The sequence below is a fragment of the Homo sapiens genome, chromosome 4 (genome assembly GCF_000001405.40).
Source record: "Homo sapiens chromosome 4, GRCh38.p14 Primary Assembly".
Lineage (NCBI taxonomy): Eukaryota > Metazoa > Chordata > Mammalia > Primates > Hominidae > Homo > Homo sapiens.
This window is the reverse complement of record NC_000004.12, coordinates 56,229,057-56,248,709: the sequence shown is the minus strand read 5'-3', so window position 1 is coordinate 56,248,709 and position 19,653 is coordinate 56,229,057. Positions and strand designations below refer to the sequence as shown.

At 39.1% G+C, this 19,653-nt stretch overlaps 1 protein-coding gene and 1 long non-coding RNA gene across 10 annotated transcripts in view; one reads left to right on the top strand and one right to left on the bottom strand.

Moving 5' to 3' along the window:
• CRACD (capping protein inhibiting regulator of actin dynamics) overlaps positions 1 to 19,653 on the bottom strand; it is a 281,512-nt gene that overhangs the window by 81,900 nt on the left and 179,959 nt on the right. Inside the window, exon 1 of one of the 9 annotated variants that reach the window (XM_005265752.3) lies at positions 1,998 to 2,207. The exons of the other annotated variants lie outside the window; for them this stretch is intronic. The gene's annotated coding sequence lies outside the window, so the exon portion shown is untranslated. Of the gene's footprint in view, positions 1 to 1,997; positions 2,208 to 19,653 lie in introns of those variants that run through there. 9 annotated transcript variants of the gene reach the window in all.
• LOC101928760 (uncharacterized) lies at positions 2,289 to 19,076 on the top strand. The gene is made up of 2 exons (XR_245260.3): positions 2,289 to 2,358; positions 17,683 to 19,076. It is a non-coding gene; the product is annotated as an uncharacterized LOC101928760 (long non-coding RNA).

Below are 19,653 nucleotides of genomic sequence, written 5' to 3'. Positions count from 1 at the left end.
TTGGGAGATATACCTAATGCTAGATGACGAGTTAGTGGGTGCAGCGCACCAGCATGGCACATGTATACATATGTAACTAACCTGCACAATGTGCACATGTACCCTAAAACTTAAAGTATAATTAAAAAAAAAACACATAGGTAAGGTTAATATAGAGATAATTCACAACTATTTCATAAATAAATAAGAAAATGTGCATTCAAAAAAAAAAATAATGCATTGAGCCTTGATGGCATCTTAATTTTTAAAAATATATGCCTATGACCTACCTAATTATGATGGGAGCAAAATAGGCACTTAATAAATACTTAGCTGGCTGAGTTCTAGTTCTAGCTCACCAAAAGTGAGCAGATTAATTACTAAAAGTTTAAAACACAGAGTCTTCCAGGTATGAGCGGCACCAGGTCCCTCAAATGCGCATTTTTCCATAGTAAGATGTCAGCTCTGACTCAGGACAAATTATTTTGAGAAATATTTTCTAACCACTTGAATGAAGGAAACTCTCTGAAGACAAATTGCACTGTGCTGTTCTCTGTAACACTCCTGATTCTTCAGTGGGAAACAAATAATGCTGCTAGTTTGTAAGAAGAGCCTGTATTGGAATGATAAGCTGAGTATTCTCTAGTGGGATCCCACAGTCCCACCACTGGAAAGATTCATTCCACATTCTGGTGCTGCTGTGATGTTTTATTCATTTCCTTGGGTATACCATACAGAATCTTCAGCCTCGTAGAATTCACTCTCCCATGTTATTTATCGTGATAAAATACTGTGGAGTACTGTAAGTATGACGCATCCCATGCAAAGTCCACTCCCAGGCTTCACAATAGGATTCTCTCTCTCTCTCTTTTTTTTTTTTTCTGTAAGATGGAGTCTCACTCTGTTGCCCAGGCTAGAGTGCAGTGGTGCAATCCTGGCTCGCTGCAACGTCCCCCTCCTGGATTCATGTGATTCTCCTGCCTCAGCCTCCTGAGTAGCTGGGATTATAGGCATACATGAACACGCCTAGCTAATTTTTGTATTTTTTGTAGAGACGGGGTTTTGCCCTGCTGGCCAGGCTGGTCTTGAACTCCTGACCTCAGGTGATCCACCTGCCTCAATCTCCCAAAGTGCTGGGATTACAGGCATGAGCCACCGTGCCCAGCTCACAACAGGATTCTCTAGGTGAGTTTTCTCTCCTATTTATTAATTGGAAGGCTGCCAACTACTGGAAGAGAGGAAGGCAGAGATCCTTTATGTAACTCTGAAAGCCAAAGTGGACTTTTCTTTAGATTCCTGAGTTACTATCAGCTGCCAGTCAACCACTGCCAAATCACACATCTGGAAAAGTAGCTAATATATCATCAATTACTCCTAACAGAAGAAATAAAGCCACGGCAAGAAAAGACTATCATAAGAATACTGCTTCACTGTATTCACTGTAAGACTGATCTACTAAGACAGACTCAAGAGCTTCAAAAGATACAGTCTACACCTGGGCCCCAACTCTTAGCTTATATGGCAGAAGGAGAGGCTGTAGTGTGCAAAGGGTCTCATGCCACAGTGGGTTTTAGCCTTGCTTCTCCCACAACCCCATGACAGAGGATGATCACAGAGCTCAAAGCTTGGATTATTTGCAACTCCCTTGTCCTAGTAATACCACAACTCTTTGTCTCACACTCAACAAAGCTTATAAAAGTGCAGGAGAGAATGACTTACAGAGGGCCAACTATGAATGTACTCGAACTTTTTTCAGTATCTAAATATTAACAGCAGTACCCAAGTACTGATTCTTAGCACTAGCCATACCAGTACTAGCACTAATACCAGTGCCTAAGTACTACTAATAATAACAATGTTGGGGGATTCACTGTCTTAGAAAACTGCTGCCATGAAGGCAGGAAGCTGCAAGCTATATTCTGATGTCATTAGGGTGACAACAGATGCCTGTTTCTTCCCCCATTTCCCAATTTCAGAGGGAAGTACAGGGCCTTTTTCTTTACATTCCATACACTTACCTTCTGGGCTGCCTGAAGCCTACAGTTTCCCGATCAAACATGAGATTCTTCCACCTGGTAAATTATCCCCCCTCAGAAACACCATGCCATGGGAGTGTGCATGCCCCATGTAGAAGCTCAGTAGGGCACTTGGTATGTTATGACAAAAAGCTCCTACAGTATGAGTCAGGTGAGTGCAGGTACTGTTAGATTGGCTTTGGACATAGTTCTAATTCCAGTAAGGAGAAAACAGCCAGTGGGGGATCCAACCCAGGATTCTGCCCTGACAGTTGCTCTGAGAACCCCTGTGTGAAGGAGCTCAACTGCCCGCCCTGTGACTGTGCATGCATCCCTCCCGACCCTGCAGTTACAGACACAGCAAGTAACCTCACTTGTAATCACCTTCCACCTAAGGCCCCACGTGAAGATATATAATCTTTTCACTAGGAGATATCAATTAAAAAGGAGGGAGATGAGAGGGCAGAGATGAGAAGCTTTAGTTCCATTCAGCACTTTCTACTTTCAGAGGATAGAAAAATGGCAACTCAAGGAAGTGTCTCTTCCCTCACATCTGACAAAGATTCACTGAGAACCACACTGCATATCATGAGAGCTGGCTGAGAGCACAGGCCAGTAGGTTGGGGCTCAAAATCACAGCCTTAGGTACCCTTCAGGCTGTGGCCAATGCCTCCTGCCCATCCTCCTCCCCATCAGTATCTACCTAGGACAAATGCCAGACAATCCTTCTTTATAAAACAGATGAGGCACACGGTACATAACATAGTCTACATTTTGCTTGAATCTTATGTAAAAGAAGAGACAGAAAAAGCAATTCAGTGTTGCAAGGAGAATAAAATCTGTTTACATGCCAGTGACCTTGAGTGCAAATTATTTGCTATCTCAACCAAACATTGGAAGTTCGATTTTTCCTTTACTTCAATGAAGGGCAATAGGGGACTGAGTGTTTGAGACAGAATATAGGTACTAAGGTACCATTAGGTATTCTGCTCTTGTATCTGACTTCAGGAAACAGTTTGTCCCAGCCAAAGCAATGATTCATCCTATGCCACCAGTGTTACAATAGGAGCTTGATTTGCTGCAGTAGAACAAATAGTGCAACACTCCTTAGAAAAGCTCTGCTCCAGCATTTCTGGAAGATTAATTAAAGTCAGTGCAGGAAATGGAAAATCACTTTTACCATTTTACATTAAAGAGAGATGACCAAAACACAACTGAACGTACCAAAGGCTTTAGTTCAGAAAACCAGTAAACATTTCTGCATTTGTTTGCTTTCGGTTATTGTTGTTTAGTTTTGTTTTTTTGGCATGTGACAAAAGATACCATAGGTATCACAGCCAGGGAGATTTTCAGGGATTCTGAGATTAGACATTCTAAAGAAGTGATAAAATTGCTAGCAACCACAGACCAATGGTAACTGGTAGAGAGTCTTTTGATTTAGATTCATACTTGAATTCATTCAACAATTATTTATTACCTATCCACTATGAGAAAGACTTCATAGAAAATACTAAGATAATGTAATATATTCCTAATGTATTAAATAAGATAGGAAGTGATACACTCCATGAGAAGGGGGTGGTTATTTCAAGGATGGAATTAACATTTCTAGATGAAGGCAGCTTTCTTGTAGAAGGGAAAATGAATTGGCCTTGAAAGATGAATAAAACACAGAATATTTGGAAATCAGAGAAAATTTTGAGAAATGAGCACAAAGAAATGAAGGTGAGAAAATGCAGGGAGTCAGGGAGCAGTGGGTAATTAATGCTGCCTGCAGCAGAGGGGACTTAGGAGAGATATCAATTAGACTGGAAGGGCAGCTTAGGATGGGATTTGTGGAAGATTGTGAAACAGACTAAGCACATGGCTATGTGGGAAATGTGTTCCACCTTCATGATTTGTGAGCAGGAGTTATATTCAAAACTTTTAACAAACAGAGCAGACAGGACAGCCACAGGGCTGGGCAGGGTCCTGGAGGCCCACTTCTGGGCCAGGTATTAACCCTTTCATCATGGACTGTAGGGTGGTATGGGGGTATCCCAAGAAGGGTTAGAACAGCTGGTGTGTGGGAAATGGGACGCACGTGGGAGTCTGAAGGAAATGACCATTTATCAATGAGTCCAGAGCATTTCAGAATTTTACCAACTGATACAGCCACCCTGACATATACTAGCTGAATTTTAGCAATAAAGTAAAAAATACATCTATATCAAAAGCCAATATAAGCTTTGGATCTGTAGCCTGGACCTCTACTTGGATGTCCGTAGGTACCTCCGTATGTCTAAAACTGAACCCATCATGTTCTTTCCTAAATGTGTAACACTTTATGATTACTTCACAAAATGGTAGCATAAGTCATCCAGGTGCTCACACCAAAATTCTGGGGATCACTATCAGGCCCATAACATCATTGCCAGCATATGAACCCCCTTCCAGGCCCCCTCATTATCAGGCCCATAACATCATTGCCAGCATATGAACCCTGGTTTTAGGGAAACTCCATTATGTAAATTTTGATGGGAGCCAGGGCTACTCCCTGTTTCACACTCTATACTTCTGCCTTCAGAATCTTCTCAAGTTCCCAGAACGTTAGACTAGAAACCAATATAAGGTGGTCCTGAATCTCAGGTAGTCTCCCATTTTCCCAGTAAGACAATCCTCCTGTCTCCCAGCAAAAGAGAAAAAGAAAAGTCTTTGGAAGACTTTTGGATCAATTTAAATATACACTATCTTTGAACTCACGGACATAGAGAGTAGAAGCATGGTTCCAGAGGCCAGGAAGGGTAGTAAGGGGCTTTGAGGGAGAGGGGGATGGTTAATTGGTACAAAAAAATAGTTAGAAGGAATGAATAAGACCTACTATTTGAAAGTACAATAGGGTGACTATAGTCAATAACATTAATTGTACATTCTTAAATAACTTAAAGAGTGTAATTGGATTGTTTGTAACTCGAAGGATAAATGCTTCAGGGGATGGGTACCCCATTCTCCATGATGCTTATTTCACATTGCACACCCATGTCAAAACATCTTATGTACCCCAAAAATATATACACCTACTATGTATCCACAAAAATTAAAAATAAAAAAAGAAAGCCATTTAAAAAAATCCAATGCTATTTTACACTGGATAATATGCTATTTTGGAGAAAATTATAATGCAGTATTTGAGCAAAAAGCCAGGTGTTTTGTTTTTTAATATAGTGTATTTGTTTATAGACTAAGTTGCTACAAAAAAGAGGCTCCAAAATACAGTGACTCAAACAAGTTAGGAGTTCATTTCTCTCTCTTCTAACATTCCTTACATTGATGAGTGGCACAGGACAAGTAGATGCTGCAACTCTTTCTATTCTTCCTATTTTGTTGTTCCACCATCCCCTAAGGCCTTGATCTTTGGTTGATCACTATCTCCTAACGCCTGATCTTGATCTATGTTTGAGGCTCCCTCACAGGCACCACATCCACAGCCTACTCTTGAAGAGAGCGAGAGAAAGACAAGGACAAACAGATTTCTTTTAAGAGAATGAAGCAGAAACTGCTCACACCACTGTTAAGAATTTAGCTGGTGGACACAGCCCACTGTAGGGGAATCTGGAAGAGGCAGACTCTACCCAGTCATCCATGTTCTTTGCCAAAACTTGGGGAAGTTCTATTAGTAAAAAGGATAAAGGGAAAATAGACAGTGGGGGACATCAGGAGCTTCTCCAAATTCGGGACTCTCAAATGACAGTATCTACAGGATTTTCTCTGGGGCGGCTCATGCGCTCTAGGGGTGCATCCCTCTAACCTTTACCTGGTGCGCCAGGCTGCTCGTAGTCACCGTGAAGTGTACAAACTTCCACGTACTCCCTTGTTTTCACATAGGGTCCTCGTTCCTACCCTCCCTCGCCTGCTATCTCAGAGCCTGGTGGTCCTCTGGTTTTGTTTTTCCAGGGGATAAACTTCTGGTTTTATGCAGTGGCAGAGGAGGCTTAGTTCCCTATTAATCTGGAATGGGAGTAGGAAAATGGGGTTCAAGTGCTCCATGGACAGGTTTTCTCCTAAAATCCCTGTCCTTGACCTCCCATCGCCTCTGCCTCCTGTGGCCCCCGACGTCTTTTTCTGAGCTTTTCAGGGGTTCTTGGGGTGCTCATCCTTGCAGGAACGCAGATTTGACCTTACCACTTTCTCGCCATTCCTGCACCACTGTTCAGTCTTCATAAATCCTAGTTCAGGGCTACACGCCTCCTAGTGTCACCAAAGCTTGCATGTCTATATCTTGTTCTCTTTATTATGTAGGGGATTTGGAAGAGCAGAAGGAAGTGAAAATAGCTTTACTCTATTATCGTGAAACTGGAAACATTTTTTTCATCTGTATATGATGCTATTACTGGAAATTTTATCTCAAGCCACAAATATCCATTTGCTTAAAATAAGGATGGTTTTATTTTTCCGTTCATCCTGTGGCTGTATACTCATGATCTCCACAAAGTAAACACTAATTCTATTTCATTTTCAAGTGATTTTTAGAAGGTTTATTGGCAACGATATTCAAGACTTGCGATTGTGAAGTCATCCCCCACCCCAATACTTAACTAAATCTGTACAGAATTTCTTTGCTTCCTTTTAGGGTGACCTCCATAGGCATACAAACTAGCAGTGACAGAGGTAGTTTCAGGCTTCTTACTTTGTCATTCAAAATAAAGTAAATCAGAGAGTAGCCTGTAATATAAAAAATTTTTAACAATCTATAAGGCCTCTCTTTATTCTGAGATATTTTTAGGGAACAAAACTTACTTTATATTTTGACATGAAAGAACCAGACTTTCTTACAGCCTCCTAGTTTTGCTCACGTGAGGCCATGTACATAGAACACGCCCTTCAGTTTCTCCCTCTGGCTCACTCCTACTCATCCTTCCAAACTCATTTCAGGTGCTGTCTCCTACAAGGCGCCTTCCTTGATCGCCTGATCACCTCCAAGAGCTCTTAAAAAGGCTGAGCAGGTACTGCACCTGTGTGTTTCCACGGCACCCAATGTTACCCTTAAACTGCATTTCCTGTACTGTCATCTCTGGTTTATTTGTCAGTCTCCCCCACTAAACCATGAACTCCTGGAGGGCAAGGTCCATGTCCTCCTTATCTTTACATTCCTAGCATCTATTAACCATGCCTGGAACATAGCAGTCTCTAGTTATGTATTCACTTATTAAATGAATAAGAGAAATGCCGGTTTCCAAAGAGAAACAGAAGTCCCTTGACGAAATTAGAGGCAGAGGAATTGGGAGGGGTAATTCACCCTAGTTGCTTTTATTCACTCATTCTCTCGGTGACTTTATTAATTGAGCAAGCATAGAAAACTTCCACAAGACTCAATGAAACAGAATTTCAGAAATTAAAGTTTATCTTGGAGAACTGAACCACTGATTGATGGTCAGATAAAAAGATGTATAAACTTGTGCTTTCAGTATTTCTTTTACTCAAGACCCTTTGGTTGCAATAAACAGAAATCCACTCAAGTTAGAAATGAGGACTAATGGATCCAGAAAGCACACAAGCCCTGTACTGAATAACCACACTGCAGTGAAGAGCTAAGGAAAATTTCATGAGCACTTTATAGTCTGCCCTTTTCCATATGTCAACCAGAAACTCAAAAGAAAATGGCAATTACTGTAACACGGACTTTGCAGGCTGGACAGCTGATAACGCTCTGAGCTCCTTTCCTGCTTTCCCTCACTGCAGCCACTGTAATGCAGGCCCATCCATCATGCTGACAGCGTGGCAGGGCATCTGCAAACCTGGTGGGTGTGCGGATGGACTTAATCATAGCTGCACAGTGGAACTCTTGGGGGTGCAGCACAGCTCACCAGACACATAAGAATAAGTTTCTGAAATAAGTTTAAGGAATGGCCTGAAGTCACAGAAGACAAACCTAAGAATCTTCTTTTTGAAGATCAAGTAGGTGTGGCGGCTTATGCCTGTAATCCTAGTGCTTTGGGAGGACTGCTTGAAGTAGAGTTTGAGACCAGCCTGGGCAATACAGCAAGATCCTGTTTCTACAGAAAAAATTAGCCAAGTGTGATGGCGCATGCTTGTAGTCCCAGCTACTAGGGAGGTTGAGGCAGAAGGATCACTTGAACTCAGGAGTTTGAGGCTGCAGTGAGTTGTGATCACGCTACTGCACTGTTGCCTGCGTGACAAAGTGAGGCCTTGAATTTAAGAAAAAGAAAAGGATCAGGCATGCAAGTTGGCTAAACAGAAGAGCAACTGTGTCTGAGCTCTGCTTAAAATTGTGATGCCCTCCTAATGCCAGAAAAAAAGGCAAACAGGAAAAAATGTACAATACAGAAAACAGCGTTGATGAGTTTTGTGTAATTTGTTCCTCCAAGGAATTTCTCTGTGGTACCCTACTCCCCCTCCCCAGTCTGTGTTAGGAATCCCCCTACCTAACCTCCACATGCTACAGGGCAATCCTTTGGCATATCTCTATCACGGTGTTTTTTGTCCACGTCCTCCTTGATCTTCCCCATTTCCTGAGGTGGGAAATAATGCCATTTATTATAACCCATTTCATATGCCTTTTGGGACAAGGAAAAGTATACATACATATTTAATAAATGAATACTATGTCTTATAGCTCTGTATTATCAGTGTCTAGTATGTGTCTGGAGCATATGAGATGGACGAATAAAAAAAAGAATAATTGAAATGAAAATATCTGGAATTTAATGTCCTTTTAAAAGTCCTGTTAAAAAAAACCTGTCATAGGCTTAATCATTCCTCCTGACTCTCATCTCATTCATTTCACACACAAACATCAGCAGAACAGATGTTCATCTGTACTGTCTAAAGTGTGCATATTCTAGAAGTCTGTAATTTTGAGGTAATTATAAGATAAAGCTTTTTGTGTTAGTCTGGTGGTGTTAACACATAAGAGTCTGGGGCAGGGGGTGGGAGCGGGGGTCCCAGGACACGGGGAAGCTGAATGCTCACTGACTCTGAAGATGGCTAACTTTGTTATCACAAAGGTTTATTTAACTTGACAATATCTATCCTATTTCTAGATTTAGACACTTGTTTTTAAGGTGCAAAGACAACCTGAATTTGCTCCAGGTTCAGTCCTGCTTATTAAATGCAATGAGATGACATCTAGGTCATCTCATTTCAGCTAAACTTAGGGGAGAGGGAGGTTTTGATGGCTCTCTGTATCATTCTTGGATAAAAACATTCTTGGATAAAACATGTCAACATGTACTCTGACATTAAAGGCCAGTCACCATGCCTGCGAATGGGGCATGATGACACCCACTTCACAAGGCCATGCTAATCTCTTTCTTGTTTCCCCAAGGAAATAAAAATAACCTCTAAAATTATCTTCCCATAGACATCTCATAAAATGAAAGTTTCTAAGTTCTATAATATTATTATTAAATAATAATATTTATTATTATCATTTTTTGAGCCTGTCATGCAGGCGGGAGTGCAGTGGCACCATCTTGACTCACTGCAACCTCCGCCTCCCAGGTTCAAGCGATTCTCCTGCCTCAGCCTCCTGAGTAGCTGAGATTACAGGCACGTACCACCATACCCAGCTAATTTTTGTAGTTTTAGTAGAGACGCAGTTTCACCATGTTGTCCAGGCTGGTCTCGAATTCCTGACCTCAAGTGACCTGCCCGCCTCGGCCTCCCAAAGTGCTGGGATTATAGGCATGAGCCATTGCACCCCGCCTGAAGTGCCGATGTAATCTTTACATAAGTTTAGAAAACTCTGAACTTGGGGCTTTTGGTGACTCCATTTCCTAATCAGTGAAAGGAGGGATTTTGAACTAACTGATCTTTAAAACTCTAACTACAAATTTCAGGAAGGATGTAAACAGGCAGCTCACAAAAGAAATCAAAATGGCCAGTACACAGGTACAGATATTTTCAACATCAGTAGCAACCAAAAAAGTAAATTTACAAAATGAAATACCATCTTTTAAAAAAAATCTGATTGGCAAAGACAGAAAAAGAGTAATAACATCCTTCTTTAGCAGTTTCAGGAAGAATTATTTTCATCACTGTACAGTATCTGGAGTGGCTATTTGGCAATATGTATCAAAAGTCCTAAAATGACGTGGCAGATTGTATTTTCCAAAAATGGCTGCACCGCTATATCCATCCTCTCCATGTTCCTACAATGAGTTGTTGATGCTGTTCCATTGACAGGTGGGAGTCTATGTGTCTTGCTCCACCTGGGTGGGCCTGTGACTGTGGTGGAAGGGATGCTGCATGGTTTCCAAGGCTAAGTTAGAAAAGGCGACAATGCTTCCACCTGCAGCTCTATTGGGACACAAGGCTTTGAAGCCCTAAGTGGCCATGTAAGAAGTCCAGCTATCCTGAAGCCAACATGTAGAGAGACCACATATAGAGAAAGATGCCAGAGGGATGCCAGCTGTCCTAGCTGTTCTAGCTCCCTGCTATTCAACTCTTCCCAGCACTGGCAACACACATGTGAGTGAAAGAGCCTTCAGAAGATTCCAGCCTGCAGCCTTCAAGCCTCCCCAGCCAATGTCAATTGGAGTAGACATAAGTCGTGTTGACTGAGCCCTATCTGGACTACAGATTCATGAGTAAATTAAATGTGGTTGTTGTTTTAAGTACTCAGTTTTGGAACAGTTTGTTATGTAGCACTGGGTAACTAGAAAATTATATAGGCTGCTGGGTTAAAAGATATTTATATATCTGGATGGATAGATAAACAATTAGTTCAGAGGTAGTTTGTTATATAGCACTAGATAACTAGATTATACAATACATATAACACATATATTTTCATGTTATAAATATAATATTTATAATATATGAAAGTATATATTGCTGGGTTATATCTATACATATCTCCTATATCTATACATACTACACATGCATGCCTATATTTATATCTACTGACTGATTCATCCATCGCTCTATCTACATATGTGTATGTGTATGTGTTTGTGTGTGTGTGTGTGTGTGTGTGTGTGTGTGTGTGTGTGTATGTAATATCTTTTAACCTAGAAATTTCAGTTCTAGGAATTACTGTTAGGAAAACACCTAGAGAGTTTACAAAAATATGGTTACATGGCATTCTTTCTAAAACTAAATATTGTGAAACCATTTAAAATGTTCAGCAACAGGCAAATGATTAAATATTTTATATGCACATAATCAATAATAGGTAGTCAAAAAAAGTGATAGCATGAAGCTGCATTTACTGACAAGCTAGTGAGTCATGAATCAAAATTTATAATCAGCCCAATTCTTTGAACCTAAGGTCCATCTTTCTTACTAATTTTTTATAGGACTTAAATGCATACAAGTGGATTTAATCTATAAAAAGCTAGATTAATCATACTCATCATGGCTCATGCCTGGGTCTCTTTAAATTATGTATTTATTTACATGAATATATTAATGCATATTGGTTTCATTTTAATAAAAAGGAATTATAATCTATAACTCATTCTATAATTTGTTTTCTTCATTTTATTATATATATCATAGATATCCCTCCAGGCCACATACTTAAATTTAACTCATTCTTCCAACCTTTCCCCCTATTAATGGACATTTCAGCTATTCCAGGTTTTTTCTTTTATATCACTATAAGCAATGTTAAAATAAATAAAGATGTTCATACATCTTAGGCACTGATGCTTTTATTTCTATAGCATAAATTCCAAAGGATGGGATTGCTGGGTCGGTGTGAATTGAAATGTTAATATACATGGCTAAATTACATTCCAAAGGGGTTATAGCAATTCATACTCCAAAAAGTGATGCATGAGATTTCTCTGAATCTTCACCAACAACACATGCCTCTCCATCTCTGATTGGTGGAAAATGGTCTGAAGTTATGCATTTTTAACATATTTAAAATATAAACATTTGTAATACGTTGCAAATATATTTTTTTCTGTTGGCTTTTTAACTTTTCTCATGGCATATTTTGCAGCACAAAAGTTTTGTTTTTTTTTTTTAGTCTTTGAAAATATTTTTATTGGTTGCATCTAAATTAATCTTTCTTTTGCTGCCCATTTTCAAGGTATTGAGCATTCTTTAGTTTCCTTCCCTCCACCCTGTTTTCTCATGTCATTGAGCCATCGTCCTATGTGACTCCTGGTTTCCATACATCATCTCTGTGCCCCACAGTGGCCCACCTGTGTGAGTAGTTCAAAGCTGTCATCTCTTCTGACTGGTTAGTGCCTAGTCCTGCCAATATCCAGTGCTGAATTTTGAATATTGTCTCTGATTGAAATTAGTTTCCTTAGCCACTGTGTTTGCTCAGGCTGCCACAATAAAGTACCACAACATGGGAGGCTTAAACAAAAGATGCTGATTCTCCCACAGTTCTTAGAGGGGAAGTCTGAGATCAAGGCCGTGTTCCCTCTGAAGGCCCTAGGGGAAGATCTTTCCTTTCCTCTTCCAGCTTCAGGTGGTGGCTGACGATTTTTGGTGTTCTTTGGCTTGCAGACACATCACTCCAGTCTCTTCACGTGGCCTTCACATCCTCTTCCTTGAGCATGTTTTTCTCTCCAAAGTCCCCCTTTTAAGGACATCAGTCATGCTGGATTAGGGCCCACCCTAATGACCTTACTGTAACTGCAACACCTCTGTAAAGACCCTGTTTTTAATAAGTAAGGTCACATTCTGAGGTCCTGGGGATTAAGATTCCAACATAGCATTTTTCAAGGATACAATTCAGTTCTTAATAGCCACCAGCTACCCAGCGCAGATAACTCAGGCTGTGGTGGAGGCCCAGATTCATGCACGGATGGTGGGCAGGGCACACCCACAGTAGGTAAACATGTTCTTGTCTTAAAACTCTGGCCAGAGAAAGCATGCCCTCTTGAACTCCTCCTTCCCAACCCTTGTCTTGTATGTGCATCTACGCAGATATAGATACATGTAGTTTTCTCTTTTCCTGTGTGAATGGTATCATAAAAGTTTTAAATTTTCTATAGCCAAACCAATCCATTTTTCCCTGTACGGTTGCTTAGACCTTTGTTTCAAAAGCTGAATCTACTGTCAACAATGAGGATTTGTGGATGTGGGAGCAGTTAACACACTAATCTGGACATGATCATACTTTCTACTCTGAGCATGTAGCGTATGACTTTCAATTAGTACTTTGCTGCCACTGTCCTGAGAGACTGTACACTTGTGCAACTGTGAGTTTTAGAAAAATGGTTTGTCTGATACCTTTGTTCAAAGAGAGCAATTCAACTACTCAAAAAACTTAGCTTTTACTGATAGAGATGTGAGCTGGTATTTAATGACTCTGTAGCACAACAGAACATGCTAATCTCTTTCTTGTTTCCCCAAGGAAATAAAAATAACCTCTAAAATTATCTTCCCGTAGACATCTCACAAAATGAAAGTTTCTAAGTTCTGTAATATTTCATTGTTCCTAAACAGAATCCTTAAATGGTTTGGATGTCTTTAGATGTCTTATCTGTTTTTGATGAAAGCTCTGACTTGACAAACACCCCCAAGATATATTGCTTTATGGCATTTGGCCAGATAAGACTTAACAGGTGTTTTTACAATTTTTTCCCCTACTCCCACTGTATCTTTAAGGATACAATCATGTGAATATAGGGTAAGGCATTTTATTTCTTTTAAAATCCATAGTTTGTAGACACGTTAAAGTCTACTATATCGCAATATGCATACAAATGCAATGAACTGTTGAAAACATGCCCTTAAACACAACAGGACTCTACCCTATGAATTAGATTGGAGGTGGAACAGAAGGTGTATCTTGCTTAAATTCCTGTTTGTGCTTAGCAGAAAATCAGTTCCCTTGGCTTTATAGCACCACTATACTAATTTCTAAGCCTATGTTTTCAGCTTTAGTCTTCTACTTATGTTCCAGTTGTCTACTGAAACATTTTCACTTGAAGTCCCATCATATATAATTGTCATATGAAAAGGAATTAATCAATACCACCACCGTTTCCCAATTTCTAGTACCACTAAGGCTTTAAACCTTGTGGTTACCTTTGTCCTACTCCCTGCCTTTCCTTTACCCTATCAAATCCTGGCTCTTTAACCATTCTTGGTTGACTCTTTAATCATTCTTCTCTAAGCTTTGTTTCACTATTTTCTCTTTTTACAAAAATAATATTTTTATTATAACAAACAGAGTTTAAAAATTGATGGAATCACCACACAATGTTCACAGCAGTGTTATCTATCATTGTTAATAAGTGGGAACAACCTAAATACATATCCATCAACTGATAAATAAATAAACAAGATGTTATATAGATCCACACAATGGAAAATATTATTCAGTCATAAAGAGGAATTAAGTACTCATTCATGCTAGAATATGGATGAACCTTCACATTATGCTATGTGAAAGAAGCCAGAGTAATTCCATTTATTCTGATATTCTGATAAGGCAAAACCAGGGGACAGAAAACAGGTCAGTGATTGCCAGGGGCTATTGGAGGGGAGGAATGGGGAGTGATTGCTACTGAGTATCAGTTTGTTTCAAGGGTGATGAAAACTCTAAAATTGGATAATGGGATGGTTGCACGACACTGTGAATATAGTAAAAAACACTGAGTTGTATACTTTAAAAGGGTGAATTTTTTGGTATGTGAATTATATCTCAATAAAGCTATTATTAAAAATGATGGAGTCTACTAGATCTAGTGAGTCCAGAAAGATTGCAGGATACATCAATATATAAAAATCAACTTCTTTCTATGTAACAGAGACAAACAACTGAAAACTGAAATTATAAAAATGATATCATTTGTAAAATAGAACATACTTAGGGATAAATCTGACAAAAGATGTGAAAGATCTGTACACTGAAAACTACAAAACAATTATAAGAGAAATAAAAAATAACTTAATAATTGAAGAGATATACCATATACATGGGTTGGAAGACTCAATATTGTTATTAATGCTACCCAAATTGACTTATAGATTCAACACAATCCCAATCAAATTCTCATCAGGCAGTTTTGCTGAAGTTGACTGATTCTCAAATTCATATGAAACTGCGAAGTATCTAAAGTTGCCAAAACAGGTTTTTAAAAGATGAACAAAACTGGAGAAATAACACTATCTGACTTTAAGTGTTATAAAGGTGCAGAATCAAGTAATACAGTGTGGTATTGGCATAAAAATAACCAGATAAAAAATAAATCAGAAGACAAGAAAGATAAACAGTACAGAGTCCAGCTCATGTATATACTGACAACTGATTTTTGACCAAAGATGTAAAGGCAATTTAGTGAGGAAATGTTAGACTTTTCAACAAATGATGGTTAAAAAAAAAACTGTATATTCCTATGCACAGTGATGCATGCCTATAGCCCCAGCTACTCGGGAGACTGAGGCAGGTGGATCTCTTGAGCCCAGGTGTTCAGCCTGGGAAATATAGCAAGGCCCTGTCTCTAAAACTAAAATGAAATAAAAATTTAAAAATCTGCCCTTCCAAAGATACTTTTAAGAGACTGAAATTATAAGTTATAGACTTGGAGAAGATATTGATAAATTCTATACCTAACACAGCATTTGAGTCCAAAATATATTTTAAAACTAACGCAACTTAATATAAGTAAATAATCTAATTAAAAACTGAGAAAAGAAATGAACATTTCACAAAGTAGATATACAAATGGTAAATAAGCACACAAAAAAATGTTCTGCAAAACTAGTTATTAAGAAAGATGCATGTTTTAAGCCTGTAATCCCAGCACTTAGGGATGCTGAGGCAGGTGGGTCACTTGAGGTCAGGAGTTCAAGACCAGCCTGTTCGATATGGTGAAACCCCGTCTGTACTAAAAATACAAAAAAAAATTAGCTGGGCCTGGTGGCGGGCACCTGTAATCCCAACTACTTGGGAGGCTGAGGCAGGAGAATCTCTTGAACCCAGGAGGCAGAGTTTGCAGTGAGCCGAGATCGCGCCACTGCACTCCAGCCTGGGTGACAGAGTGAGACTCCATCTCAAAAAATAAATAAATAAATAAATAAATAAATAAATAAATAAAGATACATGTTTTAAACTATAGTGCTAAGCACCTATTGCATTAGCTAAAACTACAAAGACACTATATGCTAACTGTTGGCAAGGATGTGGCAAAAGGGGACCTTATATACTGCTGACGGGAATGCAACTTTAGAAAACACTTGGGTAATTGCTTAAAAAGTTAAGCATACATCTACCTTAGGATCTAGCCATTTCACTCCTAGGTATTTACCCAAGAGAAATGAAAACATGCCCAACAAAAATGAAAGACATCTAGAATATTCACAGAAGCTCCACATAGGAAACAATCCAAATATCCATCAAGAGGGGATAAACAAATTGTGGTATATCCAAACAATGGAATACTACTTGGCGATAAAAAGGAATTAACTTGGCAATAAAAAGGAATGTTAGAGCATTTGTACATGCTATAACATAGAGGAATCTGAGTTAATCAGAATAATTATGTTGAGTTAAAAAAGGCAGATAAAAAAGAGAATACACTGTATGATACCATTATATAAAATTCTAGAAAATGTAAACTAATCTATAGTGACAGGAAGCAGATTAGTGGTTGCCTGGCAATGAATAGGGGAGCAGAAACACGAAGCGATAAGGAGCAGGAAGGCGGAATTACTGTACATATGCTCCTACTGTGGGAGAGTTGAGTTGGCTTGCATTTTTCTCCATGTTTGGAACTTATTATAACTGCAATAAACACCATTACTCACTAATATTTTTTGTACATCCTTAGGTATTTCTTCATGGTGCATAGCATATACACAACACATGTTCTTTAGTGACTTAATCATTGGAAGGTCCATTTTATAGCTGCTTGTATATAAAGTCTGAATACCTAAATTGCTGGGTCAAAGAACAGCCACATTTTAACACTTGATGAGTTTTTGAAAAATGGACACAACCAAGTAAACCAGCATCCAGATCAAGAAATCCAACAGCAGCATCTAGAATTCTTCTCATGCTCCCTATCCTGACTTGGTTTTTCCTGTACTTTATGTAAATGGAAGCACGTAGCATGCACTCTTTTGTATCTGGCTTGTGGACTGCTCATTACCATTGCTACTTTGCATTCCTTGTGTGAATCCGCTTATTTATCTCAACTTAGGTTGATAGGCATTTGGGTAGCTTCTCGTTCTTCCTATTATTAGTATTGGTCCTATAACACTCTACAGCATGTCTCAGTGAATAAATGCATGCATTTCTGCTGAGTATTCACAGGAGTGGAGCTGCTGGGTTACACAAGCCTACAGTCAGCTTTAGAAGATAAGCAACAGAAGCTTTTAATATTAGAGAACAGTCAGAAACATACATTTTTATATTTGCATGATATTTATTTAACAAGTAATTTCATTAGTGAATATTCATTGAGCACCTACCATTGTCCAGGCATCGAGCAATGTGTTGGATACATATTGCTGGACAATAGATACTGCCTCTTCTCTTGGGACACTTAGAAAAAAATCTATATTCTAGGGTTAAACAGAAAGCCAGGATAAACCCAGTGTGTGTGTGTATTTCAAAACTATGTTAAAATATCATGATGTACAAGAACATAGCCTAGAAGGAAAATAAATCAGAAGAAGTGTAAGAGTGATTCTCTTTAGGTAAAGTGTTTGTTAACAATTTTTTTGTTTGTTTGTTTTGTTTTGTTTTTTACTTTTCTATATTTTCCAGGACAACCAACCATATTAAATTCCACATATATATGGTGATCCAAGTCCATAAGCTACCTACCTGAAGACAGCTATGATGTTCAGAGGCGATGACATTCTCCAATCGACAAGGAATTTAGTCAGTACTTGTTGAACAACTGATACTGAATTCTATGTCACAATACCTTGCACAAACTTATTTATGTTGTTATATTTTGTTGTAGTTGTAGGCTCACAGAAAATGAGAATTGAAAGAAATGCTGGAACCCATTTAGTCCACTTGCTTGCAAATACTTTCAGCTCTGAAGACCTTTATTTGAAAGTTTATATGGAAACCTAATATATACAAGAGAGAGACTTGCAGCACTTTGAAGACCTTAGGAGCCTAAGCTCAGCCCTCTGTGACAGGTCCTAAGTGCCAAGAATCTTTCAGAAACACTGCTCGAAAACCATTGTTCAGGTTCAATCCCTTCATTTTCTAGAAAAAGAAGCTAAAGCAAGGCTATGAGGCAAGTTAGCGCAGAACTAGACCTTCTGACTCAATTTCATCTTTTCTAACACATCACTACTTTTTGAGTAGGAACAATGCCCTGTGTCTCTTGTGTCCTCCACCGGGGCCACCACAGACAGATAGCAGTGCTCAGTACATGTTGTTTAATAGAACAATTGATGTATACCTGCTTTTCAACTTGAAAAGGCCAAATCACCACCCAAGATTCATTATGTGCAGAAAAAGCCTGCATGCTTTTTATCAAAGGAGCTAAGGGTCACCTCAGTCACCATACCTAACCTGCTTAGCTGTCACCAAGGACGTACCCCAAAACCAATAAGAAGATTAAGATGTCAAACAGTAAAGCAGCTGGGGCATGTAATGGACTTAAAACCACAAAGAGGAAGAAGACCTATACTGAAGAAAGTTCTTCCTGCCCAGGGCAATTAATGTGGTGAACAGATGGGGAGAGATATGAACTATTTTCATGCTTTAATGGGAAGATAAAAGACACAAGGAAATAATAAGCAGAAAATCCATAGTGCAGGGGCAAACATAAAGACATGCTTTTCTTTTTCCAAGCAATATTTAATTCTAAGCAGTAATATTTGCTCAAAGTTTTACCCTGTTAGTTGTTTTTCCATCATTAAGAAGGAACTGAGTACTGGAGAGCTATAATAAGACATTCAGAGATAAATCACAGAGTTGTGCAGGGGTAGCAATGGAAGCAATGAAGATGAAAATGAGCTCCTGCATTCTGCTATACACCTTATCCCTGGCTGAGTTTGCAAAAAGGCAAGCTTCCCTTTATTCAGAAGGTACCATACAGTACATTTAGAAAGGATGTTTACAATGATGATCATGAGGTGGTATTTGTAACAGCTAAGAAGCATCAGGATATATGTTCAATACAGTTTTACTGTGGATTTCTTATTGTGCTTGAGTTATTCCTCAGTTGGTAATCCATACATAGCATGGTAGAGGCCCTTTTCCGTTCATTCACACGTATCTTAGTCCATTCAGGCTGCTAAAACAAAATACCTTAGATTTTGTAATTTATAAACAATAAACATTTATTTCTTATGGTCCTAGAGGCTGGGAAGTCCAAGATCAAGGTGCCAGAATATTCAGTGTCTGGCGAAAGCCCTGTTCCTCACAAATGACCCATTCTTGCTGCCTTCTCATATGGCAGAAGGGCAAAGAAGGGACAAACATGGTGTCCTCGAAGAGCGGAAGAGATGGAAGGGCAAAAGGGGCTCCAGGCAAAAAGGGCATGAATCCCATTCATAAGGGCAGAGCCACCTCCGAAAGGCCCCACCTTCTAATATCATCACCTTGGGGATTAGGTTCCAACATAATGAATTTTGGAGAAACACATACATTCAAACCACCCCACTGTGCTACTGAAACGAGCTGTCTCTGCTGTTTAACTTCCCCCATTACAATTCATTTTGTTTATGCCTGCAAGCATAATCTTCCTGCATCACCACTGTTATAATATCA